Source organism: Homo sapiens, chromosome 8 (genome assembly GCF_000001405.40).
Source record: "Homo sapiens chromosome 8, GRCh38.p14 Primary Assembly".
Lineage (NCBI taxonomy): Eukaryota > Metazoa > Chordata > Mammalia > Primates > Hominidae > Homo > Homo sapiens.
The window spans coordinates 66,863,096-66,888,750 of NC_000008.11; the positions used below are offsets into that span (position 1 = coordinate 66,863,096).

The following is a 25,655-nucleotide window of genomic DNA, read 5'->3' on the forward strand; positions in this document are numbered from 1 at the left end:
CTGCCTCGGCCTCCCAGAGTGCTGAGATTACAGGCATGAGCCACCATGCTAGGCCTAGAGGAGGATATAACAATTCTAAATATATGTGCACCCAACACTGGAGCACCCAGATTAAAAACAAAGCAAATATTACTAGGTCTAAAGAGAGATATAGACAGCAATACAATAATGGGGAATTTCAATATCCCCCTCTCAGTATTAGATCACCTAGACAGAAAATCAAGAAACACTGAATTTAAACTGGACTTTAGACAAATAGACCTATCAGATATTTACACAACGTTGTATCTAACAACTGCAGAATATACACCCATTTCTTCAGCACATAGAACATTCTCTAGAATAGACCATATGTTAAGCTACAAAAGAAGCCTCAACAAATTTTTAAAAATCAATGTATCAAGTATCTTCTCAGACCACAATGGAATAAAACCAGGAATCCATACCAAGAGTAACTCTGGAGACTGTAAATATGTGGAAATTAAACAACATGCTCCTGGACGACTGACCGACCATTGGGTCAACAAAGAAATTAGGATGGAAGTGGAAAAAAAATTTTTGAAACAGATGAAAATGGAAACATGACATACCAAAACCTGTGGGATGCAGCAAAAGCAGCACTAAGAGAAGCCTATGGTAATAAATGCCCACATCCAAAAAGTAGCAAGGTTACAAATTAACAATCTAACAATGTACTTCAAGGAACTAGAAAAAGCAAGAACAAACAAAACCCAAGATGAGCGAAGAAATAATAAAGATCAGGGCAGAACTAAATGAAATAGACTAACCAATATAAAGGATCAATGAAGTAAGTTGGTTCTTGGAAAAGATAAAATTAATAAACTGCTAGCGAGACTAGCCAAGAAAATAAGAGAAGACCATCCAAATAATCAGAAATGAAAAAGGAGACATTACAATTGATACCACACAAGTAGAAAAGATTATCAGAAATTATTATGAACAACTATACATAGGAAAACTTAGAAATGGATAAATTCCTGGAAACATAAAACCTACCAAGATTGAATCAGGAAGAAATAGAATACCTGAGCAGACCAGTAATGAGTAGCAAGATTGAATCAGTAACAAAAAGTCTCCCAACAAAGAAAAGCCTATGACTGAATGGAATCACAGCCAAATCAAAATGATAATACACCACAATCAACTGGGATTTATACTTGATCCTATGTCAAGTATATGTAACAGATGCAAGGATGGTTCAACATATGCGAATCAATACACATGATACATCACATCAACAGAATGAAGGAGAAAATACATAATCATCTCAATAGATGGAGAAAAAGCATTTCATAAAGTTCAACATCTCTTTATTATAAAAACCCTCAACAAAACAAGGCATAGAAGGAATATACCTAAAAATAATAAAGGCCATATATGATAAACCCAGAGGTAATATAATGAATGGAAAAAGTTGAAAGCCTTGCCTCTAAGAACTGGAACAATACAAGGACGCCCATTTTCACTACTTCTATTCGACATAGTTCTGGAAGTCATAGCCAGAGCCATCAGGCAAGAGAAAGAAAAAGCATCCACGTTGGAAAAGAGGAAGTTAGGCCAGGCACAGTGGCTCACATCTGTACTCCCAGCACTTTGGGGGACCGAGGCAGGTGGATTGCTTGAGGTCAGGAGTTTGAGACCAGCCTGGCCAACATGGGGAAACCCCGTCTCTACTAAAATACAAAAATTAGCTAGGCGTAGTGGTGGGTGCCTGTAATACCAGCTACTAGGGAGGCTGAGGCAGGAGAATCGCTTGAACCCAGAAGGGAGGCAGAGGTTGCAGCGAGCTGAGATGGTGCCACTACACTGCAGCCTGGGTGACAGAGCGAGACTGTCTCAAAAAAAAAAAAAAGGAAGTTAAATTGACCCTCTCCACTGATGATGTTTTTTTTCTTTTTAGACATGTTCTTGCCCTGGTGCCCAGGCTGGAGTGCAGTACTGCAATCATGGTTCACTGTAGCTCAATCTCAGGCTCAAGTGATCCTCCCACCTCAGCCTCTAAAGTAGCTGGGACTACAGGCACACACCTGTAGTTTATCATATGTGATAAACTAGCCAGTCATGCCTGGCTAACTGCATTTTTAGTAGAGATGAGGTATTGCTGTGTTGCCCAGGCTGGTCTCGAACTCCTGACCTCAAGCATTCCTCCCTCCTCAGCCTCCCAAAGTGTTGGGATTACAGGCATGAACCACCACGCCTAGCCTGATCCTATATCTAGAAAAACCTGGCCAAGCACAGTGGCTCATGTCTGTAATCCCAACACTTTAGGAGGCCAAGGCAGGCAGATCTCTTGAGTCCAGGAGTTGAAGTCCAGCCTGGCTAACATGGTGAAACCCTGTCTCTACAAAAAAATAAAAAATTATCCAGGCATGTTGGTACACGTCTACAGCTACCTACTTGCTCCCCAAGTCACAGCTACTTGGGGAGCAAAGGTGGGAGGATCGCTTGAGCCCAGAAGATCAAGGCTGCAGTGAGCTGTGATTGCACCACTAATGCACTCCAACCTGGGCTGCAGAATAAGACCCTGTCTCAAAAAAAAAAAAAAAAAAAAGAAAGAAAGTAAAAGACTCCACCCCAAAACTCTTAGGTTTGAAAAATGAATTCCGTAAAATTGCAGGATACAAAATCAACACACTAAAATCAGTAGCTTTCTTTTTTTTGCTGGAGTCTCACTCTGTTGCCCAGGCTGAAGTGCAGTGGCGCGATCTCGGCTCACTGCAACCTCCACCTCCTGGGTTTAAGCGATTCTCCTGCCTCAGCCTCCCAAATAGCTGGGATTACAGATGCCCGCCACCACGCCCGGCTAACTTTTTGTATTTTTAGTAGAGACACGGTTTCACCATGTTGGCCAGGCTTGTCTCGAACTCCTGACCTCAGGTGATCCGCCTGCCTTGGCCTCCCAAAGTGCGGGATTACAGGCGTGAGCCACTGCACCCAGCTAGTAGCATTTTTATACACCAATAATGATCTAGCTGAGAAAGCAAGTAAGAAGGCAGTTCCATTTACAATAGCAACAAAGCAGCAGCAACAACCAAAAAACACCTAGGAATAAATGTAAATAAGGGGGTGAAAGATCTCTGCAAGGAAAACTACAAAACAGAGAGAAATTGAAGATGACACAAATGGAAAAACATCTCGTGGATCATGGATCAGAAGAATTAATATCATTAAAATGACCATGATGCCCAAAGCAACCTATAGATTGTATGCAATTCTTATCAGAATTAGAAAAGCTATCCTAAAATTCATATGGAACCAAAAAAGAGCCTGAATTGCTAAACAAAGCCTGAGCAAAAAGAGCAAAGCTTGGCTGGGTGGCTCACGCCTATAACCCCAGCACTTTGGGAGGCCAAGACAGGAAGATGACTTGAGCCCATGGCCACAAAGAGAGACCCCATCTCTACAAAAAAATTTCAAAATTAGCCAGGCATGGTGGCATGTGCCAGTAGTCCCAGCTTCTCGGGAGGCTGAGGCAGGAGGATCACTTGAGCCTGGGAGTTCAAGGCTGCAGTGAGTTGTGATCACTCCACTGCACTCCAGCCTGGGTGACGGAGAAAGACCCCATCTCAAAAAAACAAACAAAAAGAAAAAAAAAAAGAACAAAGCTGGAGGCATCATTACCTGACTTTAATATATATTACAAGGCTGGCTGGGCATGATGGCTCACACCTGCAATCCTAGCACTTTGGGAGGCTGAGATGGGCAGGTTGCTTGAGCCCAGGAGTTTGAGACCAGCCAAGGCAACATGGTGAGACCCTGTCTACAAAAAATACAAAAAAAATTAGCTGGGTGTGGTGGTGCACACCTGTAGTCCCAGCTACTAGGGAGGCTGAGGCAGAAGGATCTTCTAATAGATTTTTCTGTATTTAATACATCCTTTAAAATACCTGTTAAGTCAGGTGTGGTGGCATGCACTTATAGTTCCAGCTATTGCAGAGGCTGAAGCGGGAGGATCCCTTGAGCCCACGAGATGGAGGTTGCAGTCAGCTGAGATGGCACCACTGCATTCCAGCTTGGGTGACAGAGTGAGACCGTGTCTAAAAAAATTTTTTTTAATTATCTGATGAAAATATGTCATGGCAAAAATAAACAGAATTTAAAAATTAAAATTAAAAGAAAGCTTTGAAAAAAATTTTAAAAATAAAAAATTGGCCAGGTGCAGTGGCTCACACCTGTAACCCCAGCACTTTGACAGGCCAAGGCAGGTGGATCACCTGAGGTCAGCAGTTCGAGACCAGCCTGGCCAACATGGGGAAACTCTGTCTTCACTAAAAATACAAAAATCAGCCAGGTATGGTGGCAGGTGTCTGTAATCTCAGCTACTCAGGAGGGTGAGGCAGGAGAATCACTTGAACCTGGGAGGCGGAGGTTGCAGTGAGCCAAGATCAAGCCATTGCACTCTAGCCTAGGAGACAAGAGCAAAACTCCATCTCAAAATAATAATAATAATAATAATAATAATAATAATAATATAAAAACAAAAAATAAAAAATAAAAGCTTTGTGTTTCTCAAAACTCAAAAACTCATAAGACAATATGTAAGAGCCGTTCATTTTGCTACATATGAATTATACCTCAATGAAAAATATTAAAAGGCAAAAAAGCTATATGAAAGGCAAAAATAAAAATAATTCATAATTCTACCACCTTAATATTTGAGCCATTTTACCAGATTGCATGTAATTTCTTTCTGCTGTTTAGTGATGTTTTGTAAAAATAAAGTATTGTAAGTATGTAGCAATAAGCAGCAATGGCATTTTGACTCTAGATATCGCTATCATTTTCAGAGAGTTTGCAATGTATAAAATGTGCTGAATTCTTAAGGTTTTAAATTCCAATTTTAGGTCTAACAGATTTTTTTTTTCTAAGAGTCTCACTTTTTACCTAGGCCAGAGTCCAGTGGTGCAACCATAATGCACTGCAACCTCCCACTTCAGCCTCCCTAGTAGCTGGGACTACAGGTGCATGCCACCATGCCTGACTGTGCAGATATTTTATAGGATGTATTAAATACATAAAAATCTATTAGAAGATTTTGCTGGACTTGGTTGATATAAAACTATTACTCTGGTGCAGAAACGAACGATGTTATGCTATGAACTGATTAATCAAAACTTTAAAATAGCCAGACGCGGTGGCTCATGCCTATAACAATCCCACCACTTTGGGAGGCCAAGGCAGGAGGTTCACCTGAGGTCAGGAGTTCAAGACCAGCCTGGCCAACATGGTGAAACCCCAACTCTACGAGAAACTCAAAAATTAGCCAGGCGTGGTGGCATGTGCCTGTAATCCCAGCTACTCGGGAGGCTGAGGCATGAGAATTGCTTGAACCCAGGAGGCAGAGATCATGCCACTGCACTCCAACCTGGGCAACACAGTGTGACTCCATCTCAAAAAAAACTTTAAAATATATGGATACCCTCTAGAAGAATTTATTCTACTTTAAAATACAATGGCCATCACCAGACCATAGCCTATTCCCATCTAAAACTGTAGTTATTACCACAGAATTGTAGTACAAGACAATTTGAACATCCTCATTGTTGTTGTAAATTGATTTCTACTCTGAAAAAGTATTTTATCTCACAACTAAAATAGATTATATTCTCCCAGAGAAACAAACTCTGAGGTGTTTTGCCACTCCTATTATATATGAAAAGGGATGACCTCAATTACTTTTTCATGGAAAATGATCCAACCCAATGCAATGGAGCAGAGTTGATAACTGTATCAAGAACACTAAAGGTTGAGGCCAGGCACGGTGGCTCATGCCTGTAATCCCAGCACTTCGGGAGGCTGAGGTGGATGATTGCTTGAGCCCGGGAGTATGAGACCAGCATGGGAAACAAAATGAGACCCCTGTCTCTACGAAAAAAAATTTACAAGTTTGCCAGGCATAGTTGAAGTCTTAGCTACTTGGGAGCCTGAGGTGAGAGGATCACTTGAGCCAGGAGATTGAGACTGCAATGAGCCCTGATTGGGCCACTGTGTCCTGGGACACAGGTAGACCTTGTCTTAAAAAAAAAAAAAAGGAAATACTAATGGTGGAGAAGCAGGTACAATTTAAGGGTTTGGGGTTTTTTGGTAACAGTTTCTTTTTTTTTTTTTTTGGAGACAGGGTCTCGCTCTATCGCCCAGGTTGGAGTGCAATGGTGCGATATCTGCTCACTGCAACTTCTGCCTCCTGGGTTCAAGTGATTATCCTGTCTGCTAATAGTATTAATCCAGAGTAGCTGGAATTACAGGCGCGCGCCACCACACCTGGCTAATTTTTGTATTTTTAGTAGAGATGGGGTTTCACCATGTTGTCCAGGCTGGTGTCCACTCCCGACTTCAAGTGACCCACCCGCCTTGGCCTCCCAAAGTGCTGGGATTATAGGCGTGAACCACCGCACCCGGCCAACCTCAATAAGATTTAATTCAAGTACTGTACAATTCAACTATTTAAAATGTACAATCAACTGGCTTTCAGTAGATTCAGAGTTGTGTGACTATCACCACAATCAATTTTAGATCATTTCCATCACTTCTAAAAGAAAACCTGTGTGAATTCATGAACAACAAAAAATATGGTACACACACAGTGGAATATTATTCAGCCTTAAAAAGGAAGGAAACTCTAACATGTTACAACATGGATGAAACTGGAAGATGTTTGGCAAAGTGAAATAAGCCCATCACAAATGGACAAATACTGTTTGATTCTATTTACATGAGGTACCTGGAGTAGTCGAATTCAAGGAAGCAAAGACTGATGGTTGCCAGGGGATGAGGAAGAGAAGAATGGGGAGTTGTTTAATGTGTATGGAGTTTCAGTTTGGGAAAATGAAAACAGTTCTACAGATAGTGGTGATGAGTGCACAGTGTGAACGTAGGTAGTGTAACTACACTTTAGGATGGTTAAAATTGTATATTTTATGTATATTTTACCACAATTTAAAAAGAACAAGAAATCCCATACGCATTAGCAATCATTCTGCATTCTCAACCAACCTCTGGGCAACCACAAATCTGCTTTCTTTCCTTATGGATTCGCCTATTCTGGACATTTCATATAAACAAAATTACACAACATATGGCCTTTTGTGTCTGGCTTCTTACATAGTGTTTGCCAGGTTCATCCATGTTGTAGCATGTATTAGTGCCTCATCACGTTTTATGGCCAAAACCATTCCATTGTATGGCTTACACCACAGTTATCCATTAATCGGTGATGGGCATTCATATTGTTTCCACTTTGGGGCTACTATGAATAATACTATGAACATTCGTGTAGAAGTCTCTGTGTGAACATATGTTTTCAATTCTCTTGGGTGTATTTATAAATACCTAAGAGTGGAATTACTGGATCATAGGGTAACTTTATGTTGAGTCCTTCGAGGGAATACTGGAATGTCTTCTAAAGTGACTAGACATTTTGCATTCCCTGAAGCAGCGTTTTGAATTTTTTAAACATAACATCATTTGCCTGAGATAACAACAAAAACCAAACGTAGACCTATTTTTTCTCTGCTTCGCTGGGAGGGAGCAAGAGTGAAGCTATTAAAACGTAAGGGAACAAGCCCGGCTAGTTCCCCTGCTGACCCGAGGGCGCGGGCGGTCCCGGCAGGCCCCGCGACGCAGCCAACGGCCGGGACGTGCGCGCATGCGCGCTAGGACTCCGCTCCGCCTACGCTGCAGGCGGAGAGCAACCGCCAAGCTTGGTGGGAGTCAAGGTGAGTGCAAAGCACTACAGCGCTGGGGTCCCACTAACTCGAGGTCACCGCTGTCAGTGGGAGGGGTCCTCATGAGTCTGGACTCGCTTTCATCCGCTTTGGTTGTGAAGTGTTTTCCTGCAGTCTTCCCCTCACCAGTTCATCCCCGGTGCTGACAGGGCACGGAGAGAAGACAGAATCCGCGCCTGTTCCACGTGCAGCAACACTCGGCGTTCGTTAGACTAAGGGAAGACAGGGAGTTAGAATTTTATCCCTGTTCCCTCACTTAACGCTTTTCCACAGGCTTCTATGTCTTTTCCCGACTTAATATGCCTCCGTGAAAACGCGTCCACTCCCCAGGGCCTCCGCTTTACGCAGTGACACCCAGACTTAGCTCTAACTCTTTTGATGCCACCGAACTCCAGGCCCTGATTTATGGCCCCCTCCTGCTTACATCTATCAGGGAATCCCAAGAGTCCTCAAAGTCAGGATATCTCAAGGGAACTTTTCCTCATGTCCTTAACACTTCTCCTTGGGCTCTGTATTTCCATTAGAGCAGCAGCATCCACCCATACCCATATTAAAACCCCACTTAGCTTTCGATTACTCTTCTGCGTATTGTAGACTGATCACCAGGTCCAGTGTGCAATCTTTAAAATTCTAGAATCGATCTCCTCCATTCCATTTCGTTCCTAATGCCCTGGATCAGGCCATCCAACTTGTAGGAATATCCCAATAGGTAGAAACTGATTATCAGCTCTCCCGCTATTCCAACCTACTTTCCACATTGGCAGCAGGCACAGGTTTCCAAAATAAAAATCTGACTATGGGCTAGGCGTAGTGGCTCATACCTGTAATCCCAGCACTTTGGGAGGATGAGACAGCTACCCAAGAGTTGGAGACCAGCCTGGGCAACACAGTAAAACTCCGTCTCTACAAAAAAATTAAAAATTATCTGGATGTGGTGGCACGTGCCTATAGTCCCAGGCTGAGAAGGGAGGATAGCTTGAGCCCGGGAGGTAGAGGCTGCAGCAAGCCGAGATCACGCCACTGCAACTCCAACCTGGGCAACATAGTGAGACCCTGTCTCAAAAAAAAAAAAAATCTGACTATAATACTAACCCCCTTAAAAAAACTTTGATGGCTTCCCTTTGCCTATATAATCTTCAAAAGCGTACATAATCTGGCCTCACCCAACCATTTAATTACCAATAGTCGCCCTTCATTCCACCCCAGAAACCTAATGTTCTAGTGCAGCAAAGATGTGATGTTCTGAACACAACACACATTTTGAGATCATTGTCCTTATGGCCACGGAGAAATAAACGCTAAAGTTTCACTTTTATGTTGTAGCAAAAAGGACAGTCTTAATTGGTTTTCTTTGGAAAGTAGCCTGAACTCCACGTAGTGGGTGTGTGGATCCAGTAGTGTAAAACTGATAATGAGGGTGGAAGGTGACCTCCATCTCTGGAACACTTTCTCTTTCTCTTCACCTCTCCTCCAATTAGTGAAATAGTCGTCTATCAAATGTCACCTTAAAGTAGAATTCATACCTTCTTCCCTATGACCCCACCATCTTCAATGAAAATGTCTTAAAATAATGGAAAATGTTATGACCCATATACAAGGATGACCCCAAATTTTGTGAAATATTTCATATATGTTGTTCCTTTCATGCTACCTGGTATATTCATATTTCTATTACAGCACTTAAATTGCCATGTAACTGTTTACATATATGTCTTCTCTCACTGCACTCTTTCTGAAGGATAGGGACAATATTTTACTCATCTTAGTATCCTTAAGTGCCTAGGACAATCTAGTATCCAACCTATAGTAGGTGCCAAATAAATATTTGGTAATGAGGCCGGGTGCGGTGGCTCACGCCTGTAATCCCAGCACTTTGGGAGGCCAAGGCGGGCAGATCACTTGAGGTCAGGAGTTCGAGACCAACCTGGCCAACATGGTGAAACTCCGTCTCTACTAAAAATACAAAAATTAGCTGGGCCGGGTGACACATGCCTATAATCCCAGCTACTTGGGAGACTGAAGCAGGAGAATCGTTTGAACCCAGGGGTGGAGACTGGAGTGAGCCAAGATAGTGCCACTGTACTCCAGCCTGGGCGACAGAGTTGGGACTCCATCTCAAAAAAAAAAAAAAAAAAAAAACAACCTGGTAATGAATGAATAACGTGTTAGTCATTATTTCTGACTTCTCTGTCTCTGCCTAGCAACTTCTTGAAAGGCAGGATCCAATCTTAATCATTTTATTTTAGCACCTATTAATCATTTTATTTCTAGCACCTGTTACAACTACTGACATATATTGTTTCCAATTAGTATTTGCTGTCTTTCAATGAATTTCACATATTCCATTCTTTACTCATTACTGTGGTTTAATGTTTTATGTTGGTCACTGACACAATATTTAAAATTGGAAGGGGCTTTAATCATCTGATACAACACTTTCCTTTCCTACAGATAGATACTGAGCCAAGAGAGGTCAGATGATTTCCCCATAGCAACCAGGAAATGCTGGGTCTAGAACCAAGTTCTCAGGTTTCCCAGTTTAATACTAATTCTACTATATTTTGTTACTTAGATTGAATTTATGAAACAACTTTTACCAGTTTCATTTTTTAAACAACACCTGGAAAGGACCCTCATCATCAGATATTGTTTATTTCAACAAACATTTTTGGGAGTACCTCTGTTAAGAGACATTTGAGGTTCCTGTTTTTAAGTTTTCGATCTTGTGGAGGATCTCATAACAGTCTTGATAAAAATGTTATTTGGGCTGGGCGCGATGGCTCACACCTGTAATCCCAGTACTTTGGGAGGCTGAAGCTGGCGGATCACGAGGTCAGGAGATCAAGACCATCCTGGCTAACACAATGAAACCCCATCTCTACTAAAAATACAAAAAATTAGCCGGGCATGGTGGCACACACCTGTAGTCCCAGCTACTTGGGAGGCTGAGGCAGGAGAATCGCTTGAACCTGGGAGGTGGAGGTTGCAGTGAGCTGAGATTGCGCCACTGCACTCCAGCCTGGGCAACAGAGCGAGACTCCATCTCAAAAAAAAAAAGAAGTTATTTGGCAAAAGAAAACAAAAGTTTTGTTTTCATTGGGTAGGAATGTTTTTAAGTTGGAAATTTTGCCTAGTTTTAGTTCACTGTCAACTTTAATAATTTGTAAAGTCTTATTAGAGATTTTCAAAAATAAAATTAATTTTATTTCTAGGTTTTCACATCCTTTCTATGAGTTTCGCCATCTATAGCTTTTATCAACAATTGTGGTTTAATCAATTAGAAATATTAACCAGGAGAAAATGTCAAATCTAAAAATGAAAGAGGCGGCCCTCATCTATCTTGACAGAAGTGGAGGCCTCCAAAAGTTTATAGATGATTGCAAGTACTACAATGGTACGTTCAGCAAAGGTGAGTTATTTTTAAAACTTTCAAATAAACTCCTACACATAGCTATCCTGACTTTTACATTTGTATATTTTCATAGATTCAAAACAAAGCTATGCTGTCTATCGATTCAAAATTTTAATAAATCCCTCTGATGTTGTTGAATTAGATGCTGAGCTTGGAAATCACATTTTACACCAACCTTTAAAAGCTGCTGAAGTCTTTCAATCAGTAAGTCAAAAAAAGAAATAATTTTATGCCACATGGAATTTTTGGTAACTTTTTTTGTTTGAAATCACAGGTCTGTTTTATTGCTGTTAAGACTCTCTCATTAATTGGACAATTGCAGACTGAAACGCAAGTAAGTTTTAGTTACATTTAAGCAAACTCAGGTACAGATTTACATGATGACTTGTAAAAAAATATTTTTATATTCATAGACTTTTTATTTAAAAGGATACTACTTTTTTTCAAAATTCAATAGAATATCTTACATAGGCATCTTTATTTCTTGTATTATCCTTTATAACATTAAACACTTCTTTTTTTTTTGAGATGGAGTCTCGCTCTGTCGCCAGGCTGGAGTGCAGTGGCACAATCTCAGCTCACTGCAACCTCTGCCTCCCGGGTTCAAACAATCCTGCCTCAGCCTCCCAAGTAGCTGGGATTACAGGTGCCCACCACCACGCTCAGCTAATTTTTGTATTTTTAGTAGAGACAGGGTTTCACCATGCTGGCCAGGCTGATCTCGAACTCCTGACCTCATGATCCGCCCACATTGGCACCCTGAAGTGCTGGGATTACAGGCGTGAGCCACCGCGCCTGGCCAACATTAAACACTTTTATAATAAAACTTTTCAAACATACCCAGAAGTAAAGGGAATAATACAGTGAACCTTCATATATCTACCACTCAACTCAGATTCAATGTTATAATATTTTTTCATACCTGCATCATCAATTTTTTTCTAAATTATTTTAAAGCAAATCCCAGATATTCTATTATTTTATCCCTACATACTTTAGTATCAACCTGTAAAAATTATGGACATTTTTCTTCTTTCTTTTTTTGAGAAGGAGCTTTGCTCTTGTTGCCCAGGCTGGAGTGCAATGGCGTGATCTTGACTCACCACAACCTCCACCTCCTGGATTCAAGCAATTCTCCTGCCTCAGCCTCCCAAGTAGCTGGGATTACAGGCATGTGCCACCACACCTGGCTAATTTTGTATTTTTAGTAAAGACGAGGTTTCTCCATGTTGGTCAGGCTGGTCTTGAACTCCCGACCTCAGGTGATCCACCCGCCTCGGCCTCCCAAAGTGCTGGGATTACAGGTGTGAGCTACTGTGCCCGGCCATGGACATTTTTGTTATGTTACCAGAATGTTATCACCCTTACAAAAGTAACAATAATTCCCTTGGTATTATGTAATATCCAGTTTACATTTAAATTTGCCCAATTGTTTCAAGAATATCTTACAATAGGTTTGTTCCAAATCAGGACCAAAACAAGGTTCACACATTATAATTGGTTCTTACATCTCACTAAGTCTCTTTCAATCTAGAGCCATTTCCTCTCCCTCCCTTTTTAGACCATTACCTTTTTGAAGAAACTAATTGGTCCTACGTTATATAATCTTGATTTGTCTAATTGCTTCCTTGTAGGGCTATTTATCTTATTTCCCAACCTCATATTTCTAAAATAGAAGATGACTGTAAAGGCTTTTTAGATTCAGATTCAAATCACTTGACAAGAATACATAATAGTATAATGTATTACATATTGTGCTATATCAGGAGGATATAGTATCTATTGTTGCACTTTTAACAGTGTCACAATTGATTAGTGGGTTCCTGTGATGTCATTCTCATCTCTCCATTATACAATTTCCCATCAACTTTCACCTAATGGTTTTAGCAGCCATTGATGTTCATTGCCTAGAATTCGTTATTTCATTAGGAGATGCAAAACTGTAATTTTTCTAATTTTAGCATTCTTTCTGAATTAGCTGAAATTCTTCTGTAAGAGTAATTTTCTCTCATCAGCTATTTAGTTACTCTGAAATACAATTTGTACAGGAAAGGCAGGGTAAATGTTTGATTCTTTGCCTTTATAAAGAGTAATGAGTTGAAATCTAGCAGCTTCCAATAATGGCCAATATTTTTTGAGGGGGAGGGTTTCCATTTTTAAATATAAGGAACTCATGAACTTTTAAATATATATGGTATGTTTCAGTGAATCTTTGTCATTCCTTTTGATGCTCATATTAGCCTACCTTTTGTCACTGGGGGTCCCTTCAAGGTTGCTCCTATGTCCTTTTGACACAGGCCATTTGTTAGACCATACCCCAAGTCCATCTGCTATATTTTCTATCCCAGGCCTGAAATCAGCCATTTCCCCCAAGGAATCCTGATTCCTTTTAGTAAGAAATGATACTTAACAAGAGATCACAATCTGGGCACTAGGCGTGCTTCTTTGCTACCTGGTTGACATTGTTTTATTTTATTTATTTATTTATTTTATTTTATTTTGAGATGGAGTCTCACTCTGTCACCCAGGCTGGAGTCTCACTCTGTTGCCCAGGCTGGAGTGCAGTGGCGCGACCTCGGCTCACTGCAAGCTCCGCCTCCCGTGTTCATGCCATTCTCCTGCCTTAGCCTCCCGAGTAGCTGGGACTACAGGCGCCTGCCATCACACCCGGCTAATTTTTTGTATTTTTAGTAGAGAAGGGGTTTCACCATGTTAGCCAGGATGGTCTCGATCTCCTGACCTCGTGATCTGCCCGCCTTGGCCTCCCAAAGTGCTGGGATTACAGGGTGAGCCACCGTGCCCGGCCCTGGTTGACATTGTTTTTTAAGTCTTTTCAGTGGATATGGTCAGAAATTGTGTATATTTAAGGAAAAATTTAAAGTTCATAATGCTATTTTCAATTAAAATATTAGATTACAGGATTTTTACTTCTTTAATTTTATACTTGAATGTTGTTTCTCTAATGCTTAAAATTTTGGTTCCTAAGAACAATAACATATCATTACTTGACTTTCTTTATAATATACTTACTATATTGTAATACAAGTCAAATTGGATTTGCAATTTTCATTAATACCATTTTTATGTTCTTATTAGATTAATATAGTGCTGAAATTAACACATTTACCTCCCCTGCCAAGTTATGGTCTTGATCTTTGTGAGTTTCCACTTGATTATACATCTCAGAGATTTTATATGATGCAAGGAATTGTGATTGCAATGACAACTATAACCAAGTATACACAAGGGGCAAGATTTCTTTGTTCAGATGAAGCATGCCCTCTTTCAAAAGGTAAATGTTAAATAGGAAAATCAAAGCATTAAGCAATTGGCTAGGCATGGTGGCTCACACCTGTAATCCCTGCACTTTGGGAAGCTGAGGAGGGAGGATCACCTGAGCTCAGGAGTTTGAGACCAGCCTGGGCAACATGGAGAAACCTCGTCTCTACAAAAAATACAAAAATTAGCCCAGCATGGTGGCACATGCCTGTAGTCTCAGCTATTCAAGACACTGAGTTGGGAGGATTGCTTGGGCCAGGGAGGTCGGGGCTGCAGTGAGCTGTGTTCATGCCACTATACTCCAGCCTGGATGACAAAGAGTGACCCTGTCTAAAAAAAAAAAAAAAAAAAAATTGAACAATTTATTGTTTAATCCTAAATCATATTTACAATTAGTTATAAAACACAAAATAGAAAAAAATTGAATAAAAATTTTATGTCTCCTAATGTTTATATATTTACTTTGCATAATCTTGAAATGCATTTTTTCTCCTTTTCTCCCCCGCCCCCATCTTAACAAGTGCACCTATATTGCTGAAGTACTTGCTCTTCTCACACATTATTTCATGACGTTGTGAGTGAAACGTTTAATGTCCTCTCTCAACCCTTTGGCTTAACTTCAGTTTAGTCCTTCTGCAGGACTTCAAAATTATCCCCACCACCTCTAATTGGGTTGATTGACCCTCCTCTCTTCTCTCTGAACACGCTGCAAATGAATACCACAGGTGGAAATTATCTGTTTCTCACTGCCACATATAGAAATTGTGTGCTTAAGCATCCATATTGCCAGTGCCTTAGCACAGTGCCTTGCAAAAAACAGCTGTTAACTGTTAATTGAACTACCCTGAACCCAAGTGCAAAACTGAATTAATTCCGTTTTGAATTAGACTAATTTTAAAGGACTGTAATAGCTACAATCTGTGTCAGTAATAAAAGAAAAAAGAAAATATAAAATTAAAAATTAAAAAATGACAACAACAAAAGAAACAAAATAGATAGCTAAATCTGAAAGCAAATGTATGTTACCACTGTTTTCTTTCAGGATTTCAGTATATAAGAGTGCATGTGCCTGGTGCTACAGAATCTGCAACGATAAGAAATGACTTTTTGTGTAATCTATGTGCATCTTCACTTCAAGAAGACAGAAAATTTAGAGTACTTGGTGGTAATATGCATTTATATTTTGTAATTATAATTTTTAAAATAGTGTCTGATATTTCAATATGGAAATTAAATTGAATATATATTCTAATATCTAATTATTTTTTGCTCTTTGCTTTAAGATAAACAAATAGTTGAAATAATTGCCACAAAGGCACTTCGTGCTTTTCAAGGATATTCTAACAACCAGCCATTTAGGTTTCAATCACTTACAATTTTCCTAAGAGGTAAGTGAATTCTGTTTGAACTAAAAAAAAATTGCTATAAATATGTAATTGGCTGGGCACAGTGGCTGGCTCATGCCTGTAATCCCAACACTTTTGGAGGCTGAGGTGGGAGGATCACTTGAGGCCAGGAGTTTGAGACTAGCTTAAGCAATATAGTGAGACCCCATCTCTACAAAAAATTAAAAAATAAAAAATTAGCTAGATGTGGTGGCATGTGTCTGTAGTCCTAGCTACCTGGGAAGCTAAGGTGGGAGGGTGGGAGGATCGCCTAAGCCCAGGAGTTGGAGGCTGCAGTGAGCCATGATGGTGCCACTGCACTCCAGTCTGGGCAACAGAGAGACACCCTGTCTCAAAAAAATAATAATAACAACAAAATAATAAATGAAAAGCTGGCCAGGCGCGGTGGCTCACACCTGTAATCCCAACATTTTGAGAGGCCTAGGATGGTAAATCACCTAAGGTCAGGAGTTCAAGACCAGCCTGGCCAACATGGTGAAATCCCATCTCTACTAAAAATACAAAAATTAGCCAGGTGTGGTGACGGATGCCTGTAATCCCAGCTACTCGGGAGGCTGAGGCAGGAGAATCACTTGAACCCGGGAGGCAGAGGCTGCAGTGAGCCAATATCGTGCCACTGCACACAAGCCTGGGTGACAGAATGGGACTCTGTCTCAAAAAAGAAAAAAAAGCAATTGACTTGTTTATGCTTATAAATTATAAATGGCACTTCTATAGCTTAAGAATCACAAGTCTTCTAATTCTTGAGTGTTTTAAAAGAGTCATATTTAGTTAATATTATCAATTATTCATTCAGTCATACAACACTCACTTAAAATGATATTAGGACCTAATGTGTCCCAAGCACTGAGCTAAGTCCCAGGGTCACAGTTATTTTAAGACAATGGGATCTCCTATTATTCTGTGTGTGTGTCTTACATAAATATTGGAGTTATTGTTCAGCTCTCTGGGGCTAGAGAGAAAAGAGAAAAAAAGGAAGACCACTCTGATCTTCACAGAGATAAGTTAACCCTTGCTCCTCCCTGTAAACCTTTCTTTCATAGCTTTACAACCAACCAACTTCTAACTGTGGAATGGAGGATCAAAATTTTTAGTATGTTTTTTAAAATAAATTTTGAACTCATCCAAAGTGTTGCCCAAGCTCTAGGTATGAGAGAGGAACCTAGTATAATGCAAGAGGGTAGACTTTGAGGGTAGGCAAACCTAAATGTGAATTTCAGTTCTGCTTCTTACTAGTTATTTAGCCTTGTGCAAGCCATGTAACCTCTCAGTTTCTTAATATATAAAGTACAGATAAGAATATCTTACATGCTGGGCATGGTGGTTTACACCTGTAATCCCAACACTTTAGGAGGCTGAGGCAAGAGGATTGCTTGAACACTAGAATTTGAGGTTACAGTGAACTGATTGTGCCACTGCACTACAGCCTGGGCAACAGAGCGAGACTTTGTCTCAAAAACAAACAAAAAGCCATATTTTATAGGTTAAATAATGTTTTTACAAGTACTTACATGTATTGTAGACAGGAAAATTATTTTCCTCTCAAATAAAATTATCACTTATAAGGTCATTTTTATTAACATTCCTTTTCATTGAATAGAAAAATGTTTCATCTTATATGGAATAATTTTATTTTCTTTTGACCATATTATAGAAGAGTGTCTAGTTGCTATATCACATGCTTCTTGAAGTTAATTCATCATAGCACATAAGAATAAAAATTTATCAGCAATAAAATTGCATCAGATTATATTATTAGTGTCACTCTATATGGATATTATCCTAAACAAAAGTAAATACTCCTAACTCAACTACTGAATTGTTTTACTAGTTCTGGATCTTTGAACCATATGTTCATGTACAAAGTTCATTTAGTGAATATGTATTTTCTTCTGTCTTTAATAATTTTAGATGAATCAGTGAATAAAATGAATATAGGAAATGAATATAAAATTATTGGAATTCCAACCTGTGTAAAAACCTCACAAACTGCTGTCTGTATAGAAGCAAATAGCATAACTTTTTGTAATTCAAAAGGTAAGGAAAATTTTAGTATTATATATTAACAAATATTTAAATTTAAATCTATTTGTTCAGCAGATAAGTATTGTTTGCCTATGTGCTAGGCATTCCTCTAAGCACTAAGAATACAGTTGTAAACAGGACAGTCAAGGTTTCTGTTCTTAAGTCACATGGCAGACAGTCAATATACATATAAAGTAAGCAAAAGACAATTTCAGATAATAAGTACATGAAGGAAATAAAACAGGATAATGTTGTGGAAACTTTCTAGCATATAGGACTTATTTCTTTGGGCTAAGCCTTATTTTAATTTTTTAAATAATTAATAATGAGAAAAATGTTTCAAGGTTAGAGATTAGTCAAAGGATTTTTCTATACCACTAGCCAAGGCAATTCTGGGTTAACTTTTGTGGTCTGAGAAGGAGAGCTCAATAAAGTAGCATCCTTGGCTGGGCGCTGTGGCTCACGCCTGTAATCCCAGCACTGTGGGAGGCCGAGGCAGGCAGATCACGAGGTCAGGAGTTCAAGACCAGCCTGGCCAAGATGGTGAAACCCCATCTCTACTAAAAATACAAAAGTAGCTGGGCATGGTGGCAGGTGCCTGTAATCCCAGCTACTTGGGAGGCTGAGGCAGGAGAATCGGTTGAACCTGGGAGGCAGAGGTTGCAGTGAGGCAATATTGTACCACTGTATTCCAGCCTGAGTGATAGAGACTCCGTCTCAAAAAAAAGAAAAAAAAATAAAAAGCGTCCTTTTCCTCAACTGAATTCTGAACCAAATCAAGAAATAAGATAAAGGCAGATGAGGACCAAAATATCACCTTTATTACTGATAATTTCCTTTAACAACTCCAACATGCGTTAGCATTATGTAAACAAAAGTGGAGAGCAGACCTATTCTTTTAACTTGGCTCACAAGTATCTAAATATAGAAAAGGCTGATTAAATCTTGAATAGAGTTGGATTTTTTTGTAATCCGTATGTTCCCTGAATGGGCTATATATATTCAAAGTGATCCCCAAATGCAGAAGAACCTGAGAAAACAAAGGAGGCAGACAAGTCCAGTTTGTCATTATAGGGTGGTTTTACTGGTGAACTTAAGGACAGAAGCATGATCTTGGGCAGCCACAAGACAGGTAGATCTCCATGCTATTACCCCCAGACCCAGGAATTAGATAGGGAAAGAGTACACATGCTTTAGAGGGATTGGATAGGAATTGATATAAGGACAGGATTTACAGTAGGTATTAATTTATCAAGGTTGATTGATCTAAGGGCAGGATTTATGGTAAGTATGTGCTCTTGCATGAGGAACAATAGATCAACTGGAAATCTCCGAGCTTTCGCAGATTATCAGAAGTCAACATAGCAGATTAGCTTCCAAGATGAAGTTTCTTTTCTTTTTTTTTCTTTTTTTGTTTTTTTGAGACACAGTCTTGCTCTGTCACCTAGGCTGGGGTGCAGTGACGCAATCTCAGCTCACTGCAACCTCCACCTCCCGAGTTCAAGGGATTCTCCTGCCTCAGCCTCTCAAGTGGCTGGGATTACAGGTGCTCACCACCACGCCCAGCTAATTTTTGTATTTTTAATAGAGATGGGGTTTCACCATGTTGACCAGGCTGGTCTCAAACTCCTGACCTCATGATCCGCCCACCTTGGCCTTCCAAAGTGCTGGAATTACAGGCATTAGCCACCACACCTGGCCCAAGATGAAGTTTCTTTAGCCTCCATACTGTGGATAATCATCAGTAGTAATAGAGACCCAAGTTGAATTTAAATGCAAGTAGATTCTAAATACTTCTACTTACTTGAAGAGAAAAGCTTCTTAAAAAAACAAAAATGTTAAAGAAAGAAAGCACTGATGAATTATAGAGGGTTTAGTGATCTTTTAAATATTTTCTGCTAAGTGTTTAAAAATTTATTGATTTGGTAGCAGAACATGACTTTTCTGTAGGTGGAGAGTGTGCTTTCTTATGCTGAACTCCAGAATGAGATGTATTTAACTACCCAAATGTGGCAAGAGCTGGACTAAAGTAGGCCTCTCTTAGTCCATGGGCATGGATGAGTTAGAGGAAATCACTGCTTTTTGATGGCAGCCCAGAAAGAAGGAGAATGGGACTAGGTTATACATGCACAGCTGTTCCACCCAAATTACCAATTGGATAAATCACTCATTCCTTTCAGGAGGTGGAGAGTGAGAGGATGGAGAAGATCTAGAATTTTACAGTATACTACAGTACAGCACTTTCAAAGTAGTGGAATATAAATCTTTCCATTTAACAGCAACATTCAAATATTTCCCATTCTGCTTATTATTCCTCTCTGAAGGTGATACATAGAAATATAGGAGCAAACACAGCAATGCAGGCGCTCTATGATCTGGTTTGCTCACATAGATCTTAAAAGGAGAAGAATGAGGGATTTGCCTACAACCCACAGCCAATCTATGTGGACACAAAGGGTGACTTCTTCCTTCTATTACGTTCCTTGAGGTAGAAATGGTAAACTAGCATGACCTCGAATCATAATTTAATATCATTCTAAGAATTTAAAGGCCAAGCACGGTGGCTCAGGCCTGTAATCATAGCACTTTGGGAGGTCAAGGCAGGGGAATCAATTGAGGCCAGGGGTTCAAGACCAGCCTGGGAAACATAACAAGATCCTGTCTCAAAAAAAAAAAGAATATGGTATTATTGGAACTATAATTTGATAACATTTTAGATAAAGGGAGTCAAATATCTATAATGTTGTCTTGTTTTAAAACCCTTTCTAATATATATGTTAATATTTACTTTCAGTTCCTTCAGGAATTAGTGACAACTTCAGGTGTCTCCTCTCCTTAACTTCCAGCTCATGCTGGAAGTTTACAGCAATACTTGCCAATATCTTTGCATCACAAATTACCCCTCCTGGGACTTACAATTTGCTCAAGCTCTGTTTGTTGATGAGTCTAGTACAGACAACTGACCGTAACAAGGAACTGGAAGATTGCCTGGATATTTTAATTATAACAAGTGATACTCTACTCATAGACAGGTATATATGTGACATGAATTTTTACAAATATTAATTGGTCACAGATTTGCATACATCCTTTCCATGAGCATTATTACAAGAAGAATATTTAGAATTTTTCTGAGCCAGTATAAGTATTTAAATCAATCTTTATCAATAAAATTCAAAACCTTTGAAAGATAAATTGATAAGTGATAAGTTGAATTACTCCAATTTTCAACCTATTTCCCCACTCAGACCTTTGTAAATAAATACATCCTTCCCAGCCTTCCTTTCCCCCTATTCCCTAGCTCTGTATTCTCTTTCTGTACTTTGTTTTGAATAGTCTTCCCCCTAAGGAACAAACTAACCATTTTCTTATTTTTCTTCAATATTCCATCAATAATATTGACTCACTGCATCCAGATAAGGCTGTCAGAAGTGCCATAATTACTATCTGGGGGGAACATCATCCTAACTTTGGAGTAAGCCTCTATTTAGCATTTTGTGGCTCCCCACTAGCAAGTACCCTTTCCTTAAAACTTGCTTAAATATTCACAAAGTTAGAAATAAGCTCCCTATTTAGTATCTTGTATGCAAATCCAAAGCAAAAAATAAATTTACAAAATGAATTTAAAATAGAAAAAAATAAAATTGAAATTAACAATAATTTAATTGAACAGATTATGTTTTGCTAAAATTAAATTGCCACTGGTGATGTAAATATGGTACCAAATGCCGAGATTGTACCACTTTATTCTTCTACTGACAGAATTTTTTTCCTCACAGCCTCACCAGCTCTGGGTATTATCAAACTTATATTTTTGTTATCATTATTTTTTGAGACAGGGTCTCACTCTGTCACCCAGGCTGGAATGCAGTAGCATGTTCATGGCTCACAACAGCCTCAACCTCCTGGGCTCAAGTGATCCTCCAGCCTCAGCCTCCTGAGTAGCTGTGACTAGAGGCGCACGCCACTACACTGGGCTAATTTTTTAATTTTTTATATAAACAAAGTCTCCCTATGTTGCTAAGGCTGAACTCCTGGGCTCAAGCGATCCTCTCACCTCATTATCCAACTTTAAAATTTTGCAATCTGGGCTGGGCGTGGTGGCTCAAGCCTGTAATCCCAGCACTTTGGGAGGCTGAGGTGGGTGGATCATGAGGTCAGGAGATCGAGACCATCCTGGCTAACACCGTGAAACCCCGTCTCTACTAAAAATACAAAAAATTAGCCAGGTGTGGTGGCACGCGCCTGTAGTCCCAGCTACTCAGGAGGCTGAGGCAGGAGAATTGCTAGAACCTGGGAGGTGGAGGTTGCAATGAGCCGAGATCGCACCACTGCACTCCAGCCTGGGCGACAGAGCGAGACTCTGTCTCAAAAAAAAAAAAAAAATTGCAATCTGATAGGTGGAAAATTGTATTTTATTTTAATTTGCATTTATTTAATTGGAAATAATTTTTGCATCATATAAAACTTATTAAACATGTATTATTTTTCTATGAACCTCCCATTCTTGATCATTGTTGTTTTTATTATGTTGTTTATCTATTTATTATTGATTTGTGATGCATGTAAATTAAGGCCTTTCTTTTTCTGTTTGCCATTAACCTTTAGACTTTTTAAATGATATTTGGGGCTGTGTGAGAGATTGGTTTGTTTTTTTCTTTTTAGGTAAAATTTACATACAGTGAAATAATCAGATCTTATCATCATCACTAAAAACATTGAGTTTTGACAAATTTAACATACACTCCTTTAATCACCACCACAATGAGATATAGAACATTTCTATCACCCCAGAAATTTCCCTCCTTCCCTCTTCCAATCAGTTCCTATCTTCACTGGTGATTTCTGTCACCATAGATTAATTTTCCTGTTCTTGAACTTCAGATAATGAAATCATACAGTGCATCCTCTTTTGGGTCTAGTCTCTCTTACTCAACAAAATATTTTTGAATTGATCCAATTGTGTACATCAGTAGTTCATTGTTTCTGTTGATGAGTAGCATTTCATTATACGAATGTACCAAAATTCATTTATCTATTCTCGTAGTGGAAGACATTTGGTTTTGCATGTTTTGACTATTATGAATAAAGCTGCTGTAAACATTCTTGCACAAGTCTTTTTGTGGACATGTATTTTCATTATCTTGGGTAAATACCTAGGAGAAGAATTGCTGGGTCATAAGGTATATGTATAACTTTTTTTTTTTTTTTTTTTTTTTAAGACGGAGTTTCACTCTTGTTGCCCGGGCTGGAGTGCAATGGCACCATCTTGGCTCACTGCAACCTCCGCCTCCTGTGTTCAAGCAATTCCCCTGTTTCAGCCTCCCGAGTAGCTGGGATTACAGGCACATGCCACCACACCTGGCTAATTTTTGTATTTTTAGTAGAAATAGGGTTTTATCATATTGGCCCGGCTAGTCTCGAACTCCTGACCTCAGGTAATCCACCCGCCTTGGCCTCCCATAGTGCTGGGATTACAGGCATGAGCCACTGTGCCTGGCCTATAACTTTATAAGAAACTGCCAGTTAGCTGAGCGCAGTGGCTCATGACTGTAATCTCAGCACTTTGGGAGGCTGAGGCAGGCAGATCACCTGAGGTCAGGAATTTGAGACCAACCTAGCCAATGTGGGGAAACCCCATCTCTAATAAAAATACAAAAATTATTTGGGCATGGTGGCATGCGCCTGTAGACCCAGCTACACTTGGGAAGCTGAGGCACGAGAACTGCTTGAACCCAGGAGGTGGAGGTTGCAGTGAGTCGAGATAGTGCCACTGCACTCCAGCCTGGGCAACAGAGCAAGACTCAGTCTCAAAAAAAAAAAAAAAGAAAGAAAGAAACTGCCAGTTTTCCGAAGTGGTTGTACCATTTTACATTCCTACCAACAATGTAAAGAGTTCCTCTTGTTTCCATCCTCATCAACATTTGGTGTTGTGAGCCCTTTGCATTTTAGCCATACTAGTGGGAATGAAATGATATGTCATTGTTCTAATTTGCATTTCCGAGGTGACTATTGATTTGAACTCTTTTTCATGTGCTTATTGGCCACTCATATATCTCTTTTTATGAAGTGTCTGTTTTTATAAAGTGTTTGTTCATTTGTTAGTTTAGTTGTTCTGGATGCATGTCCTTTGCCAAATATATGTATTATAAAATTTTTCTCCAGATATAAAGCTTTTTAAAAATTGTCTAAAGGTATCTTTGATGAGCAGGCTTTTTAAGTTTTGATGAAATTCAATTTATTATTTACTTTTATGCTTAGCGTTTTCTGACTTCTGTTTAAGAAATCCTTGTCTGGCTGGGCGCGGTGGCTCATGTTTATAACCCCAGCACTTTGGGAGACTGAGGTGGGCGGATCACCTGAAGTCAGGAGTTCGAGGCCGGCTGGCCAACATGGTGAAACCCCGTCTCCACTAAAAATACAAAAAAAAAAAAAAAAAATTAGCCGGGCATAGTGGTGCGTGCCTGTAATCCCATCTACTGGGGAGGCTGAGGCAGGAGAATCATTTGAACCTGGGAGGCGGAGGTTGCAGTGAGCAGAGACTGCCACTGCACTCTGGCCTGGGTGACACAGCAAGACCCTGTCTCAAAAAAGAAAAAAGAAGAAGAAATCTTTGTCTATCCCAAGGTCATGAAGAGTTTTTAAATGTTTTCTTCTAGAAGCATTATAGTTTTAGTTTACTATTTATTTATTTATGTAGAGATAAGTCTTGCTAGGCTGGTCTCAAACTTCCAGGCTCAAGCAATCCTCCTGCCTTAATCTCCCAGAGATTGGTAGGAGGTATGAGTTAAAGTTAATGTTTTTCCTATGCATTTATCCAATTTTTCCACACTAATTGTTGAAAAGATTTTCCTTTCCCCATTAAATTGTTTTGATACCATTGTTCAAATTCAATTGAACTAGGCAGAATCAGGGTATAAAATTGAACTGGATGTAAATCTATTTGAACTCTCTTTTCTAATACTTTGATCTATTGTTCTATACTTATACCAATACTACACTCCCTTGATTATTGTAGCTTTATGTTCAGTCTTGAAATCAGGTAATGCAACTTTATCTTTCATTTTAAAGATTAAAAAAATTTTAGATCCTTTGCATTTTTAAATAAATTTTAGAATCAGTTTATTTTTATTTTTGAGACAGGGTCACGGTCTGTTGCCCAAATTGGAGTGCAGTGGCACAATCATGACTCACTGCAGCCTCAAACTCTTGGGTTCAAGTGATCCACCCACCTCAGCCTGCTGAGTAGCTGGGAACAGAGGCGTGAACCACCACATCTGGTTAATTTTTTTAGTTTTTTGTAGAGATGAGGTCTTGCCATATTGCCTAGACTGGTCTTGCACTCTCAGGCTCAAGTGATCTTCCCGCCTCGGCCTCTCAAAGTGCTGGGATTGCAGATGTGGGTTACTGAGCCCAGCCAAATCAGTATGTTAATACCAACCAAAAAGAAGCCTTTGAGTATTTTGATTGGAACTGTATTTAACGTGTAAATCAATTTTGGGCAGAATTAACATCTTAATAATATTGAGTCTTCCAATCCATGAATGTGGCATATCTCTCCATTTATTTAGGTCTTCTTTAATTTCTCTCAGTGATGTTTTTATAAAGGTCATGCAAATATTTTGTTAAATTGGTTCTAAAAATATTTGATATTTTTGATGCTACTAAAATGGTAGTGTTTTCTTAATTTCATTTTCAATTGTTTGCTATGAATATATAGAAATACAATTGATTTTTATATTTTGACTTTGTATTCTGTGACCTTCTGTGTATCAGTAGTTTTAAAAG

At 39.4% G+C, this 25,655-nt stretch overlaps 1 protein-coding gene across 9 annotated transcripts in view, besides 1 other annotated feature; it reads left to right on the top strand.

The window, feature by feature from the left end:
• MCMDC2 (minichromosome maintenance domain containing 2) overlaps positions 7,676-25,655 on the top strand; it is a 55,612-nt gene continuing 37,632 nt past the window's right edge. For 5 of the 9 annotated variants that reach the window (XM_011517469.3, NM_173518.5, XM_006716429.3 and 2 more), the window contains exons 1-9: positions 7,676-7,736; positions 10,958-11,139; positions 11,231-11,361; positions 11,432-11,491; positions 14,254-14,449; positions 15,479-15,601; positions 15,720-15,824; positions 17,754-17,879; positions 20,662-20,899. In XM_011517469.3, the coding sequence (XP_011515771.1) occupies positions 11,046-11,139; positions 11,231-11,361; positions 11,432-11,491; positions 14,254-14,449; positions 15,479-15,601; positions 15,720-15,824; positions 17,754-17,879; positions 20,662-20,899 (1,073 nt within the window). In that variant the 5' untranslated portion in view covers positions 7,676-7,736; positions 10,958-11,045. Of the gene's footprint in view, positions 7,737-8,406; positions 8,455-10,957; positions 11,155-11,230; positions 11,362-11,431; positions 11,492-14,253; positions 14,450-15,478; positions 15,602-15,719; positions 15,825-17,753; positions 17,880-20,661; positions 20,900-25,655 lie in introns of those variants that run through there. The other 4 variants (XM_006716427.4, NM_001136160.2, XM_005251174.3 and 1 more) reach the window with 4 other exon arrangements.
• Positions 7,893-7,962: an enhancer, noted in NCBI's record as "active region_27492". NCBI's record gives its function as "activates an Ori minimal core promoter by ATAC-STARR-seq in GM12878 lymphoblastoid cells {active_cell/tissue: GM12878}" and the evidence as "EXISTENCE:reporter gene assay evidence [ECO:0000049][PMID:35858748]".